A 16,333-nucleotide genomic window follows, 5' to 3' on the forward strand; every position below is an offset into this window, starting at 1 on the left:
CAGAAAAGAAAAGAAAGAAATGGACAAATCTACAATCATAGTTGGAGTGATTTTTAAGACTCTTGTCTCAGTAATTGATAGGACAAATAGGCAAAAAACCAATAGAGATATATTATATTTGAGCAACACTGTCAACCAACTTGACTCAACTGATTTTATAAAATGTTACCACAAATGTAGAATACGCATTTGTTTGTATTTGAACCCACATAAAACATTCATTAAGATGGATTATATGCTGGGCAATGAAAGACGTTTTAATAACTGTTAAAAATTAAAATCTGGCTGGGCATGGTAGCTCACATCTGTAATCCCAGTACTTTAGGAGGCTGAAGTAGGAGGATTGCTTGAGTCCAGGAGTTCGAGACCAGCCTGAAGAATATAACAAGATCCCATCTCCACAAAAAATACCAAAATTATCTGGTCACAGTGGCACATGCCTGTAGTACCAGCTACTTGGAAGTCTGAGGCCATGATTGTACCATTGCACTCAGCCTGGGCAACAGAATGAGACCCTCTCTGAACAACAAAAACAAAAAATTAAAATCTAATACAGTGTATCTTCTGACCAAATAGTAATAAATTAGAAATCAATAATTAAAAGATACCTGGCACTACACACCTATTTAAACATCTAAAATTAAAAATAATGACAATACAAAATGCTAGTAGGGATGCAGAGAAACTAGATCTCTCATGCATTGCGATGGGAAATATAAAATGGGAGCCTACCAGCTGGTATAGAAGGGAATGGGTAGGAGGAACTGGGTGCTGACTCATTCAGCACTGTCCCTTTTCTATACTGCTGATACATCCCATGGTTCTGAGAAGCCTTATCTCAGTCTATTTGGAAGAGAGGGAGGAAGAGAAGGAAGTAACCCAAAGTACTACTCATTCATCCTTGTATATTGATTAGTTAAAGGGATAATTAATTTTCTGCTGAGGAGAATTTGACAGATTTTGAAAATGAGTAAAGGCAAAAAAAATTTTTTTAGCCTTTATTTTGCCTGTTGGAATTTTACAGAGTCAAAGTAGGCAGAATAAGAAAATAGCTCTTCAGGAGGGCTGACCCTTAAAGAACTGCAACATAGTTTTGGAATTGTGGGGAAGAGAAGAGTGACTGAGCTGAGGAGTAATAACAGGAGAATAAAGTCTTGAGTAACTTAAAAAAATAAAAGTTAATAAATAAGTAAATAAATAAATGGTACAGCTATGCTGGCAAATAGTTTATCAGTGTCTTAAAAAAATCTACATTACAAAATGACCTAGTAATTGCATTCCTGGGCATTTATCTCAGAGAAAAGAAAATTTATATGCACACAAAAATGTGCACATAAATTTTTATAGCAGATTTGTTTGTAGTAGCCCAAAATTGGAACAATTCAAATCTCTTCAGTGGGTGAATAAGTAAACAAATTATGGTACATCCATATCATGGAATACTACTCAATGATAAAAGAGAAACTTACTACTGATACACAAAACCACTTGGATAAATCTCAAGAGAACTATACTGAGTGAAACAAAGTCCATCTCAAAGGTTATATATGATGTGACTCTATTTATATAACATTCTTCTTAAATTTTTTAATATTTATTTTTAATTTTTTAATATACAGACAGGGTCTGTATGTTGCCCAGGCTGGTGTCAAACTCCTGGCTTCAGGTTATCCTCCTGCCTTGACCTCCCATAGTGCTGAGATTATAGGCATGAGCCACCATGCCTGGCCTATATAACATTCTTGAAATAATAAAATTACAGAGATGGAGAATAGATTGATTGCCAGGGCTGTGGGACAGGTGAGAAGAAGGGAATGGGTATGACTATGGAGGGGTAGCATGAGGGAATTTTACTGTGATAGAACAGTTTTGCATCTTGATTGTGGTGGTGATTACACTAATCTACACCTGTGATGAAATTGCATAGAACTATATATGCACCTACATACAAGTTGAATGCATGTAAAACTGGTGAAATATGAATATATACCTGTGGATTGCACCAATGTCAATGTCCTTGTTTTGACATTGTATTATAGTCATGTAAGATTTTTACCATTGGACGAAACTGAGTGAAGATACATGGAAATTCTGTGTATTATGTTTGTAATTTCTTGTGATATTATTATCATTATTATTTGAGACAGGGTCTAGCTCTGTCACCCAGGCTGGAGTGCAGCGGCATGATCTCGGCTCACTGCAACCTCTGCCTCCTGGGTTCAAGTAATCCTCTCATCTCAGCCTCCTGAGTAGCTGGGACTATAGGTGTGTGCTGCTATACCTGGCTAATTTTTTTTTTATTTTTTCAGAAACAATGTTTCACCATATTGCCCAGCTGGTCTCAAACTCCTGAGCTCAAGCAATCTGTCCGCTTTGACCTCCCAAAGTGCTGGGATTACAGGCATGAGCCACAGCACCCAGCCTATAATTATTTTAAAAGAAAAAGTTACCTGGAAAATTCATAAATATTTGGAAATTAAGCAACACTCTTGTAAATAAACTATAAATAAATGAAAAATTACAAAAAACATTAGAATACATTTTGACCTAAACAATTTAAAAAAACCAAACATACCAAACATTGTGGAATGCTATGAAAGCAGTGCTCAATGAAAAATTTTAGTTTTAAATGCCTTATTAAAAGTAAGTAACAGGGACTGGTTCCACAATGGCCAAATAGGAACAGCTCCAGTCGACAGCTACCAGTGTGAGTGACATAGAAGACGGGTGATTTCTGCATTTCCAACTGAGGTACCGGGTTCATCTCACTGGGACTTGTTGGACAGTGTGTGCAGCCCATGGAGTGTGAGCCGAAGCGGGGCAGGGCATCGCCTCACCTGGGAAGCTCAAGGGGTCAGGGAACTCCCTTTCCTAGCCAAGGGAAGCCATGACAGATGGTACCTGGAAAATCAGGACACTCCCACCCTAATACTGCGCTCTTCCAACGGTCTTAGCAAAGGCCACACCAGGAGATTATATTCCATGCCTGGTTTGGTGGGTCCCATGCCCACAGAGCCTTGCTCACTGCTGGCACAGCAGTCCAAGAATGGACTGTGAGGTGGCAGCAAGGCTGGGGGAGGGGTGTCTGCCATTGGTGAGGCTTTACTATGTAAACAAAGCTGCCAGGAAGCTCGAACTGGGTGGAGCCCACCACAGCTCAAGGAGGCCTGTGTGCCTCTGTAGACTCCACCTCTGGGGGCAGGGCATAGCTGAACAAAAGGCAGCAGAAACTTCTGCAGACTTAAACGTCCCTGTCTGACAGCTTTGAAGAGAGTAGTGGCTCTCCCAGAACGGAGTGTGAGATCTGAGAACGGACAGACTGCTTCCTTAAGTGGGCCCCTGCCCCCTGAGTATCCTAACTGGGAGACACCTCCCAGTAGGTGCAGACTGACACCTCATAAAGCCGGGTGACCCTCTGAGACGAAGCTTCCAGAGGAAGGATCAGGCAGCAACATTTGCTGTTCTGCAATATTTGCTGTTCTGCAGCCTCTGCTGCTGATACCCAGGCAAACAGGGTCGGGAGTGGACCTCCAGCAAAATCCAACAGACCTGCAGCTGAGGGACCTGACTGTTAGAAAGAAAACTAACAAACAGAAAGGAATAGCATCAACATCAACAAAAAGGACATCCACACCAAAACCCCATCTGTAGGACACCATCATCAAAGACCAAAGGTAGATAAAACCACAAAGGTGGGGAGAATCCAGAGCAGAAAAGCTGAAAATTCTAAAAATCAGAGCGCCTCTTCTCCTCCAAAGGATCACAGCTCCTCACCAGCAATGGAACAAACCTGGACGGAGAATGACTTTGACGAGTTGACAGAAGTAGGCTTCAGAAGATCGGTAATAACGAACTTCTCCGAGCTAAAGAAGGATGTTCGAACCCATTGCAAAGAAGCTAAAAACCTTGAAAAAAGATTACACGAATGGCTGACTAGAATAAAGAGCGTAGAGAAGACCTTAAAGGACCTGATGGAGCTGAAAACCATGGCACAAAAACTATGTGACGCATGCACAAGCTTCAGGAGCCAATCCGATCAAGTGGAAGAAAGGGTATCAGTGATTAAAGATCAAATGAATGAAATGAAGAAAAGGAGAAGTTTAGAGAAGAAAGAGTAAAAAGAAATGAACAAAGCCTCCAAGAAATATGAGACTATGTGAAAAGACCAAACCTACATTTGATTGGTGTACCTGAAAGTAATGAGGAGAATGGAACCAAGTTGGAAAACACTCTGCAGGATATTATCCAGGAGAACTTCCCCAGCCTAGCAAGGCAGGCCAACATTCAAATTCAGGAAATACAGAGAACGCCACAAAGACACTCCTTGAGAAGACCAACCCCAAGACACATAATTGTCAGATTCACCAAGGTTGAAATGAAGGAAAAAATGTTAAGGGCAGCCAGAAAGAAAGGTTGGGTTACCCACAAAGGAAAGCCCATCAGACTAACAGTGGATCTCTCAGCAGAAACTTTACAAGCCAGAAGAGAGTGGGGGCCAATATTCAACATTCTTAAAGAAAAGAATTTTCAACCCAGAATTTCATATCCAGTCAAACTAAGCTTCATAAGTGAAGGAGAAATAAAATCCTTTACAGACAAACAAATGCTGAGAGATTTTGTCACCACCAGGCCTGCCCTAAAAGAGCTCCTGAAGGAAGCGCTAAACAAGGAAAGGAACAACCAGTACCAGCCACTGCAAAAACATGCCAAATTGTAAAGACCATTGATGCTAGGAAGAAACTGCATCAACTAACGAGCAATGACATCATAATGACAGGATCAAATTCACACATAACAATATTAACCTTAAATGTAAATGGGCTAAACGCCCCTATTAAAAGACACAGACTGGCAAATTGGATAAACAGTCAAGACCCATCAGTGTGCTATATTCAGGAGACCCATCTCACATGCAGAACACACATAGGCTCAAAATAAAGGGATGGAAGAAGATCTACCAAGAAAATGGAAAACAAAAAAAAAGCAGGGGTTGCAATCCTAGTCTTGGATAAAACAGACTTTAAACCAACCAACAAAGATCAAAAGAGACAAAGAAGGCCATTACATAATGGTAATGGGATCAATACAACAAGAAGAGCTAACTATCCTAAATATACATGCACCCAATACAGGAGCACCCAGATTCATAAAGCAAGTCCTTAGAGACCTACAAAGAGACTTAGACTCCCACACAATAATAATGGGAGACTTTAACGCCCCACTGTCAACATTAGATAGATCAACGAGACAAAAAGTTAACAAGGATATCCAGGACTTAAACTCAGCTCTGCACCAAGTGGACCTAATAGACATCTACAGAACTCTCCACGCCAAATCAACAGAATATACATTCTTCTCAGCACCACATTGCACTTATTCCAAAATTGACCACATAGTTGGAAGTAAAGCACTCCTCAGCAAATGTAAAAGAACAGAAATTACAACAAACTGTCTCTCAGACCACAGTGCAATCAAATTAGAACTCAGGATTAAGAAACTCACTCAAAACCACGCAGCTACATGGAAACTGAACAACCTGCTCCTGAATGACTACTGGGTAAATAACGAAATGAAGGCACAAGTAAAGATGTTCTTTGAAACCAATGAGAACAAAGACACAATATACTAGAACCTCTGGGACACACTTAAAGCAGTGTGTAGAGAGAAATTTATAGCACTAAATGCCCACAAGAGAAAGCAGGAAAGATCTAAAATCGACACCCTAACATCACAATTAAAAGAACTAGAGAAGCAAGAGCAAACACATTCAAAAGCTAGCAGAAGGCAAGAAATAACTAAGATCAGAGCAGAACTGAAGGAGATAGAGACACAAAAAGCCCTTCAAAAAATCAATGAATCCAGGAGCTGGTTTTTTGAAAAGATCAACAAAATAGATAAACCGCTAGTAAGACTAATAAAGAAGAAAAGAGAGAAGAATCAAATACACGCAATAAAAAAATGATAAAGGGGATATCACCACCAATCCCACAGAAATACAAACTACCATCAGAGAATACCATAAACACCTCTACGCAAATAAACTAGAAAATCTAGAAGAAATGGATAAATTCCCCAACACATCCACCCTCCCAAGACTAAACCGGGAAGAAGTTGAATCCCTGAATAGATCAATAACGGGCTCTGAAATTGAGGCAATAATTAAGAGCCTACCAACCAAAAAAAGTCCAGGACCAGAAGGATTCACAGCCGAATTCTACCAGAGGTACAAAAAGGAGCTGGTACCATTCCTACTGAAACTATTCCAATCAATAGAAAAAGAGGAATCCTCCCTAACTCATTTTATGAGGCCAGCATCATCTTGATACCGAAGCCTGGCAGAGACACAACCAAAAAAGAGAATTTTAGACCAATATCCCTGACGAACATTGATGCAAAAATCCTCAATAAAATACTGGCAAACCAAATCCAGCAGCACATCAAAAAGCTTATCCACCATGATCAAGTTGGCTTCATCCCTGGGATGCAAGGCTGGCTCAACATACGCAAATCAATAAACGTAACCCGTCATATAAACAGAACCAAAGACAAAAACCACATGATTATCTCAATAGATGCAGAAAAGGCCTTTTGACAAAATTCAACAGCCCTTCAGGCTAAAAACTCTCAATAAACTAGGTATTGATTGGACATATCTCAAAATAATGAGAGCTAACTATGACAAACCCACAGCCAATATCATACTGAATGGGCAAAAACTGGAAGCATTCCCTTTGAAAACTGGCACAAGACAGGGATGCCCTCTCTCACCACTCCTATTCAACATGGTGTTGGAAGTTCTGGCCAGGGCAATTAGGCAGGAGAAGGAAATAAAGGGTATTCAATTAGGAAAAGAGGAAGTCAAATTGTCCCTGTTTGCAGATGACATGATTGTATTTTTAGAAAACCCCATCATCTCAGCCCAAAATCTCCTTAAGCTGATAAACAACTTCAGCAAAGTCTTAGGATACAAAATCAATGTGCAAAAATCACCAGCATTCTTATACACTAATAACAGACAAACAGAGAGCCAAATCATGAGTGAACTGCCATTCACAATTGCTTCAAAGAGAATAAAATACCTAGGAATCCAACTTACAAGGGATGTGAAGGACCTCTTCAAGGAGAACCACAAACCACTGCTCAGTGAAATAAAAGAGGATACAAACAAATGGAAGAACATTCCATGCTCATGGGAAGGAAGAATCAATATCGTGAAAATGGCCATACTGCCCAAGGTAATTTAGAGATTCAGTGCCATCCCTATAAAGCTACCAATGACTTTCTTCACAGAATTGGAAAAAACTACTTTAAAGTTCATATGGAACCAAAAAAGAGCCCGCATTGCCAAGACAATCCTAAGCAAAAAGGGCAAAGCTGGAGGCATCACGCTACCTGACTTCAAACTATACTACAAGGCTACAGTAACCAAAACAGCATGGTACTGGTACCAAAACAGAGATATAGACCAATGGAACAGAACAGAGCCCTCAGAAATAATGCCACATATCTACAACTATCTGATCTCTGACAAACCTGACAAAAACAAGCAATGGGGAAGGGATTCCTTATTTAATAAATGGTGCTGGGAAAACTGGCTAGCCATATGTAGAAAGCTGAAACTGGATCCTTTCCTTTCACTTTATACAAAAATTAATTCAAGATGGATTAAAGACTTACATGTTAGACCTAAAACCATAAAGACCGTCGAAGGAAACCTAGGCAATACCATTCAGGACATAGGCATGGGCAAGAACTTCATGTCTAAAACACCAAAAGCAATGGCAACAAAAGCCAAAATTGACAAATGGGATCTAATTAAACTAAAGAGCTTCTGCACAGCAAAAGAAACTACCATCAGAGTGAATAGGCAACCTACAGAAGGGGAGAAAATTTTTGCAATCTACTCATCTGACAAAGGGCTAATATCCAGAATCTACAATGAACTCAAACAAATTTACAAGAAAAAAACAAACAACCCCATCAAAAAGTGTGCGAAGGATAGAACAGACACTTCTCAAAAGAAGACATTCATGTAGCCAAAAGACCCATGAAAAAATTCTCATCATCACTGGCCATCAGAGAAATGCAAATCAAAACCACAATGAGATACCATCTCACACCAGTTAGAATGGCGATCATTAAAAAGTCAGGAAACAACAGGTGCTGGAGAGGATGTGAAGAAATAGGAACACTTTTACACTGTTGGTGGGACTGTAAACTAGTTCAACCATTGTGGAAGTCGGTGTGGCGATTCCTCAGGGATCTAGAACTAGAAATACCATTTGACCCAGCCATCCCATTACTGGGTATATACCCAAAGGATTATACATCATGCTGCTATAAAGACACATGCATGCATATGTCTACTGAGGCACTATTCACAATAGCAAAGACTTGGAACCAATCCAAATGTCCAGCAATGATAGACTGGATTAAGAAAATGTGGCACATATACATCATGGAATACTATGCAGCCATAAAAAATGATGAGTTCATGTCCTTTGTAGGGACATGGACGAAGCTGGAAACCATCATTCTCAGCAAACTATCGCAAGGACAAAAAACCAAACACCGCATGTTCTCACTCATAGGTGGGAATTGAATTAGAACACACGGACGCAGGGCAGGGAACATCACACACTGGGGCCTGTTGTGGGGTGGGGGGAGTGGGGAGGGATAGTATTAGGAGAAATACCTAATGTAAATGACGAGTTAATGGGTGCAGCACACCAACCTGGCGCATGTATATATATGTAACAAACCTGCACGTTGTGCACACGTACCCTAGAACTTAAAGTATAATAAAAAATAAAAAAGTAAGTAACAAGAAGAAAAGTTTAAAATCACATTACCTTGCATCACAAGAAACCAGAAAAAGTAGAGCAAATTAAATCCAAAATAAGTAAAAAAAAAAAAAAAAGAAAAAAAGAGAAAATTAATGAAATATAAGATGAACAAACAATAGAGAAAATCAATAATATCAAAATTTCGATCTTTGTAAAGTGTAATAAAATTGATAGGCCCCTTGGCAAGATAATCAAGAAAAATACATACATTAACAAAAACTTTTAAAAGGAGTGAGAAGGGGTTTATTACTACTGACTATAAACTTTGAAACTGATAAAACTTTATACCAATATATTGGCAAATTTAAGTGAAATAGACAAATTTCTTAAAAAACACAAATGAACAAAACTAATGAAAGAAGAAATTAAAAACTAAATAGCCTAATATCTGTTAATGGAATTATACTCATAGTAAAAATCTTTCCCCCAAAGAAAACTTCAGGCTCAGGTGGCTTCTCCATTTAAGGAAGAAATATTACCAATCCTACACAAGCTCCTTCAGAAAAGAAGTAATATTTCTCAACTTGTTTTATAAGACCAGCATTATCCTGATAAAGTATTAAGGCGAAAAAGAAATTTAAAAGATCAGAAAAGAAGTAAAGCTGTCATTGTTCACAAACAACATGTTTGCGTATGTGAAGAACCCTACCAAAAATACTACTCAAACTAATAAATGAATTTAGCAAGGTTATAGATACAAAAATTGACTGCATTTCTATATACACTCAATAAACAATTGGGAAATGTTTTAAAATTTACAGGCATATTTAAAAAAATCAAATAGCTAGGAACAGATCTAACAAAAGATGTGTAAGACCTCTCCATAGAAAACTACAAATATTGCTGAAAGAAATGAAGATGACATCATAAAAAAAAATGTAAAGCTATACCATATTCATAGATAAGAAGGCATAATATTGTTTAAATGTTCATTTTTCCTAAGCTGATCTATAGGTATGATGCAATTCCCATAGAAATTCTAGCAAGCTTCTTTGAAGAAAGAAAAAAGCTGAATCTAAAATTTATATGGTAATGCAAAGAACCCAAAATAGTCAAAACAATCTTTTTTTTTTAGATGATCTCACTCAGGCTGGAGTGCAGTGGTGTGATCTTGGCTGACTGCAGCCTCCGCCTCCTGGGTTCAAGCGATTCTCCTGCCTCAGCCTCCTGAGTAGCTGGGATTACAGGTGCCCACCACCATGACCGACTAATTTTTGTATTTTTAGCAGAGACGGGGTTTTACTATGTTGGCCAGGCTGGTCTCACACTCCTCACCTCATGTGATCTGCCCACCTCAGTCTCCCAAAGAGCTGGCATTACAGGCGTGCCAAAACAATCTTTAAAAAGAACGAAGTTAGAAGATTTACACCATCCAATTTTAAGATTTCTGTAAAGCTCCAGTAATCAAGATAGTGTGGTATTGGTGAAACCTAGACAAACAGACCAACGAAACAAAACAGAAAGTATATAAATAGAACCACACGGATATGGTTGATTGATTTTCAACAAAGTGGTGAAGTAAATCCGATTGGGAAGGGAAAGTCTTGTTAAGTATTGCTGGAACATAAAACTGAATCTTGACTCTTCTTTCACTCCATAAACAAAAAATTACTTTGAGACAGATCACAGACCTAAGTACAAAAATCTTATCTATAAAGTTTCTAGAGAAAAACATAGTATCTTTCTGACTTGAGTCATGCAAAATTTTTTGATAAAGACCCACGCACAAGCTGTAAAAGAAAATACTGATAGATTGGACTCTACCAAAACTAAAAATTCTACTCATAAAGGACATCATTAATAAAATCGTGTTTCTGACAAAGCACTTGTAATTAGAATATATAAGGAACTCCTAAAAGTCAACAATATAATGGCAAAGTTGCAGGATACGAGGTCAATATAGAAAATTGGATTGTATTTCCATATACAACAATTATAAAGGTAAGTAATCCAATTTAAAAACTAAGCAAAAGATGTGGACAAATACTTCAGAAAATAAGATATACCAATGGCCAATAAGCATATGAAAGAGTGCTCAACTTCATTATCAGGGTAATGCAAATTAAAATGACAATAAAATATTATTTCATACCCATTAGAATGGCTAAAATTTAAAAATCTGTCTACCCTAAACGTTAGTAAGGTTGTGGAGCAGCTGGAATTCTCATACATTGTTGGTGGTATTGTAAAATGGTAACACCTCTTTGGAGATCTGTTTGGCAATTTATAATAAAGTTCACATATATTTAATCTGTGACCCAAGAATTCCACTCCTAATATTTATCCAACATAAATGAGAACATACGTTCACAAAAGAACTTGAACATGAATGTTGATAGCAGCTTCATTCATAACAGCCCCAAACTGGAAACAACCTGAATATCCATTAACAGGGAACTAGATAAACTGTGCTATATGTGTATGATGAAATACACTCAGCAATAAAAAAGAACAAAATTCTAATACATGTGCTAATATGGTAGGATCTCAAAACTATATTGACAGAAACTTTGAAGAGTACATTCATTTATACGAATCTCAATAATGGACAAAGTTAATCTATAGTGATAGAAATCAGAAAGTAATTGTGGGGGTTGGGGGATTGATTGGAAAATGATATATAAAGAAACTTTCTGGGGTGATAAAAGTGTTCTGTATCTTGTGTGGGGCAGTGGCTACATAGGTGTACATTTACCAAAAATAATACACCAAACATTTAAGATCTGCATTTTATGTTTACCTCTCAATTAAAGAATTAAATGCCGTTATTTTTTAAAAGAGCAGAAAATGAGAAGGTTGATTATAAATAGGGAACAAAGGTAGGAATTAACAGATGTTTTCCTGAATGGAGACCTCTATACCATTGAGTCCAACCAGAATCAGCAATTTTATTTAACATTTTTATAAGTTATTTGGAAGATCTTCAAGTGTGCAGATGCCACTGATCTCTTTCTGGTGGGGCCAAGCCAAAAATACAACACTATCTCTAGAGTAAGGCAAGTTTTTATTTTTTATTTATTTTGAGACGGAGTCTCACCCTGTCGCCCAGGCTGGAGTACAGTGGCATGATCTCGGCTCAATGCAACCTCTGCCTCCTTGGTTCAAGCGATTCTCCTGCCTCAGCCTTCCAAGTAGCTGGGACTACAGGCGTGCACCACCATGCCCAGCTAATTTTTTAATTTTCTTAGTAGAGATGGGGTTTTACCATATTTGCTAGGCTGGTCTTGAACTCCTGACCTCATGATCCACCTGATTTGGCCTCCCAAAGTGCTAGGATTACAGGCGTGAGCCACTGTGCCCCACAGGCAAGTTTTTAAATTTCAGGTCATGATCCATTGGTGAGTGGTGAGATCAACTTAGTAAGTCATGACCTGAATACTTTTAATAAAACAGATGAGACTAAACTGGAAAGTATCAGAATGTATATAATAACAGTGAAATATTGTTCTGTGAAATTTTTGTCTGAAATGCATTGGATTGACTTTTTTTTTTTTTTTTTTTTTCCTGAGACGGAGTTTTGCTCTTGTTGCCCAAGGTGGAGTGCAATGGTGTGATCTCGGCTCACTCACTACAACCTCTGCCTCTTGGGTTCAAGCAGTTCTCCTATCTCAGCCTCCTAAGTAGCTGGGATAACAGGTGCCCGTCACTATGTCCGGCTGATTTTTGGTATTTTTAGTAAAGCTGGGGTTTTACCATGTTGGCCAGACTGGTCTCGAACTCCTGACCTCAGACGATCCGCCCGCCTTGGCCTCCCAAAGTGCTGGGATTACAGGCATGAGCCACCACACTCGGCCTGATTGACTTCTTTCTAAGTGGCTCAATTTTTTCTTTTTTCTTTTTTAAGAGAGCAATGGTTACTCAGGAGTATAGGAGAGAGGGTAGCGGTCACTTATTGCTATAGCCCAACCAAGCTTTGGCTGCCCTATGCTTAAATATACTTAAGATGTGTGTAAAGACATACGTGTGTGTATTGAGACATGATGTAAAATGTATTTCTTACCGTGAGCTGAGATAAAAATTTTTGAGGCTTCATAAGCAGGTAAAAAGTGATATCTGAGCAAGCAAGTTGTGGGGATGTATAGGGGAGCTTGGGGCTCTAAATTCTTGCACAGGAAGGGCCCGGGAGTTACTATAGATAGTAACAGTATAGACTCATTCAGCACACAGTGTAAGGCCACCAAGATGCTGAGTCCCAATAGGAAAGAAGAGAAAGATCCCATCTTTCTCTTGTACGAAATTATGTTCTCTCCCCACTTAGAAGAGACAAAACAGCAGGGACGGCTACAAAATGGCAGGATTACCCAGTGCAGCTGCTCAGTGCCACATTGCACAACTCCAGAGGGTGCTCTCACACAGACTGCAATGTGAATAGCTCCCCCTGGAGTTGAGCGGTGCACAACCCAAACAACCCTACCAGGCAACCGTAAGTATAGTGATTAAGAGCACAAGCTTTGGAGTCCAACAAACCTGGGGGCCTGTCTCAGACTGAATCCCAGACTATATAACCTGGGGCAGGTTATTTAGCCTCCTTGAGCCTCAATTTTCCAAACAGAATATGTTATACATCCCTAGGGCCTATTTCAGTGTCTGGCATTGAATAACAATAAACACGTGTCAAATGCATCGAGCTAATACTAGTACCTGCCTAAAAGGTGGTGGTGAGGAGCAAAGAAATTGACATACGAAAGGTTTTTAATATCTACAAAAGATGACAGACTGAAATAGTAACATTCTCCAGGATGGAAAGATCTATGCCACGTAGGAATTGTTTGTTCAAATTATTATTTTTTAAAAGCCATAAGCTATGGAGAGAATAACAGAGTTTTGTTTTGTTTTTTAATCCTGATACGGTGGAAGTCTGGTAGGATGGGAACCGTTCTTGAAGCTTGAGAATACATTCGGAACAAATAAAAAGTAGGAAATGCATACATTTTGTTATTTACAGTTGTAGGGCAGGTAAGGGCAAAACGTATTGATAAACTCAAAGAATTTTAAGAATGATATTGTCATGAGCCATGAGCCATGGAAGCTGCAAGGTTTGGGCTCCCTCCTGCCATCGGGTGGGGGGTGTCGGCGGAAGGGGGTACGTGTCCTGTCCTCTCCCAGTGCTTATTTCCTGCTGGAACCGTGGTTTTGACGCAGCCGTGACAGCCCTTCATCCTTATTAAAATCACACAATGAAGCAGGTCGCCCAAGATTGAAAGCGCGTTTCCAGGGCGGACCCCGGTCCCCGCCTTTGGCCAGCAAAAGTACATTCTGGCAGGGAGGGATCTCTGAGCCCCGAAGTGAGGTCATGCCAGTTAGCAGTTAGAAAAGGAGGCATTTCTCACACTTGCTAAAGAGTTTGACGCTTGTGAAATATAAACAGGAAGCGGGAGCTCTCCAAGGCGACCTGAAGGAAATACACTGCCAGTTTGGTCAACTTGTGAATGCCAGTTCTCTAGGTCGTCAAGGGCACTGCCAGTTAAGACTGATCCCCTAACTGCACCCGAGGCTACTACTCTTCGCCCAGTCTCGGCAGTGACCCCATTTTTTTTTCAATCCTTCCCACAGCCAGGTCACTCAGCAGTGGGGTGACTGACCCGAAGCGCAGTGGGAAGGGCTTACAGTCATCTCTCAACTCCCCGAACTTGCAGGGCAGGGGAGCGCAGAGGTCAGTGAAATCCCCAGCCAGGCCTTATTTTAGTCATGAGTTTCCACTGGCTCCCTCCTCTGACTGTATCAGCGCTGCTCACACCGCGGGATTGGAGTTTCAGCTGTTTTCCCTGCTCCCGGCTGAGTGAGAAGGTCACAGAGCCCGGACCTTTCCGGGGGAGGTGGGTGGGGCCCTCCGGCAGCCTAAGTGAGATTGCAGAGATCTGGGGCCGCTGGAGGAGGTCCTTCCGCCCCGGGCTTGGGGCTTTGGGTTAGCTTCTCCCCCGCTTCTCTACCTAGGCATCTCGGTTACAATGAAATTAAAAACAAAACACAAAGCAACACAAGTTCTCATTGTTTTTCCCCTCTGTCAGCCAGTGGCCTCGATACAATTTTCCCAGGGCTGCCTTTCCTTTATTGCTCAATTTAACCTCTTCCTAGAGGTTCTGCAAGTTCAAGGGCAGGATCCGTGTCGGATTCATCAACTAGTGCAGCGCCTAGTGCAGAGCAGGGGGCTCAAGAAATACGTGTCGACCGCATGATTGCTAAGATTTCCCTGTAACAGGCGGTTTTTTTTTCTTGTCTCTCTCATCCCTCCTGCCCTGGGTGCAGACCGCGAACAGCGCCGCCGAACTTCCCAACAGGCAGGGAGAGGGCCGATCCGGGCTGGCACGCCACGTCCCCGGGGTCTCAGTCCCTGGGTCAACGCAGAGAGGCTCGCGGTCCGCGGTGCTACGACCTGAGCCCGGCCACGTGAAGCGTCACGCCCTGCGCTGCTGCAGGGCAGGCGCCGCCGCCGCGGTTGTGTAACGCTGCAGCCGGAGGGGAGGCGACCGGGGCGCCTCTGCTCCGGAGGGGGCAGAGGAGGGAGGGAGCGCCGGGCACAGCGCCCGGTATCTTTCTGCGCTTGACTGGCCGGGAGGAAGGGGGTGACACTGGGGCACCCAGGGGGCTGCGCAACCGGGTGCCCGCCCGCCCGCAGGTTGTGCCCAGGAGCGGAGCTCCTGGGAGCGAGGGGCCCTCGGCTCACACCCTCCACGGTCAGGTGCGCGCGGCGTGCTCGGCGGCAGCCTCAGCTGCCCCTGCGCTTGGCCGTCGGCCCGCTTCCCATGGGGTGACATCCGCCCCGCCCCTCGGTCCCTCCCCAAGGCGGGCAATTCCTGGACGCGAGGGTGAGCAGTGGGGGCAGGGAAGCCAGGACGGAAAGAAACCCCAGCCTCTGGGGAAGGCTGGGGGGCCGGGCGACTCCCTCCGCAGCGCGCCGGTTCCTCCAAGCGGGCCGGGCGGGGGAGGAGGAAGAGGGCTGGGCTGGAGCTAGCAAGGGGATATTCCTCTCCCGGCTTGAGTCAGACGCGGGCGGATCCGTCCTCCCCCGTTCCCTCCCAGGAGACGGGAACTTACTTCATTTCCCTGGGGCAGGTTCGCCCACGTTACCAACTTCTCCCCCTCCCCCAGCACCCCCGTCCCTTCCAGCTTCCGCGCCCCCCACCCAACTGGGCAGGACCCAGGTCGTGCTGCCACCCCCTCTTCGGGGAAAGGCGGCCGCAGCCGCAGACACCTGGGGGCCGGGGCTGGGGGTGGGGGCTCCCTAGCAGCCGCCGGAGCGTTGTCCAACACGTGAGACTCATGTGATGAAGCCGGGGGAGGGCGGGCAGGTCGCTCCTTCCCTCCCCGGCAGTGGCCAGACGTGCCTGGAGTCACAGGGTAGAACACGTAGCTCCAACCCACCCACTCGCTCCCATTTAACCCAGCCCGCAGCCTCTCCATTACTCCTCGGCTTGCCCCCCCACCCCCCCACTCCGCCCTAACCGCCCCCCCCTCACCCGCTCCCTCCCGCCTCCCCGCCCGCCCCA

The 16,333-nt window shown here is 42.4% G+C and overlaps 1 long non-coding RNA gene across 3 annotated transcripts in view, besides 6 other annotated features; it reads right to left on the minus strand.

The window, feature by feature from the left end:
- The window catches only part of BHLHE40-AS1 (BHLHE40 antisense RNA 1), an 83,153-nt gene that overhangs the window by 66,289 nt on the left and 531 nt on the right, over positions 1-16,333 (minus strand). The gene's annotated exons all lie outside the window — the stretch shown is intronic.
- Positions 12,953-13,132: an enhancer, noted in NCBI's record as "active region_19362". NCBI's record gives its function as "activates an Ori minimal core promoter by ATAC-STARR-seq in GM12878 lymphoblastoid cells {active_cell/tissue: GM12878}" and the evidence as "EXISTENCE:reporter gene assay evidence [ECO:0000049][PMID:35858748]".
- Positions 14,562-14,751: an enhancer, noted in NCBI's record as "active region_19363". NCBI's record gives its function as "activates an Ori minimal core promoter by ATAC-STARR-seq in GM12878 lymphoblastoid cells {active_cell/tissue: GM12878}" and the evidence as "EXISTENCE:reporter gene assay evidence [ECO:0000049][PMID:35858748]".
- Positions 14,872-14,921: an enhancer, noted in NCBI's record as "active region_19364". NCBI's record gives its function as "activates an Ori minimal core promoter by ATAC-STARR-seq in GM12878 lymphoblastoid cells {active_cell/tissue: GM12878}" and the evidence as "EXISTENCE:reporter gene assay evidence [ECO:0000049][PMID:35858748]".
- Positions 15,052-15,171: an enhancer, noted in NCBI's record as "active region_19365". NCBI's record gives its function as "activates an Ori minimal core promoter by ATAC-STARR-seq in GM12878 lymphoblastoid cells {active_cell/tissue: GM12878}" and the evidence as "EXISTENCE:reporter gene assay evidence [ECO:0000049][PMID:35858748]".
- Positions 15,282-16,051: a silencer, noted in NCBI's record as "silent region_14020". NCBI's record gives its function as "represses an Ori minimal core promoter by ATAC-STARR-seq in GM12878 lymphoblastoid cells {active_cell/tissue: GM12878}" and the evidence as "EXISTENCE:reporter gene assay evidence [ECO:0000049][PMID:35858748]".
- Positions 16,262-16,321: a silencer, noted in NCBI's record as "silent region_14021". NCBI's record gives its function as "represses an Ori minimal core promoter by ATAC-STARR-seq in GM12878 lymphoblastoid cells {active_cell/tissue: GM12878}" and the evidence as "EXISTENCE:reporter gene assay evidence [ECO:0000049][PMID:35858748]".

Source organism: Homo sapiens, chromosome 3, assembly GCF_000001405.40.
Source record: "Homo sapiens chromosome 3, GRCh38.p14 Primary Assembly".
In the NCBI taxonomy this organism is placed as follows: Eukaryota; Metazoa; Chordata; class Mammalia; order Primates; family Hominidae; genus Homo; species Homo sapiens.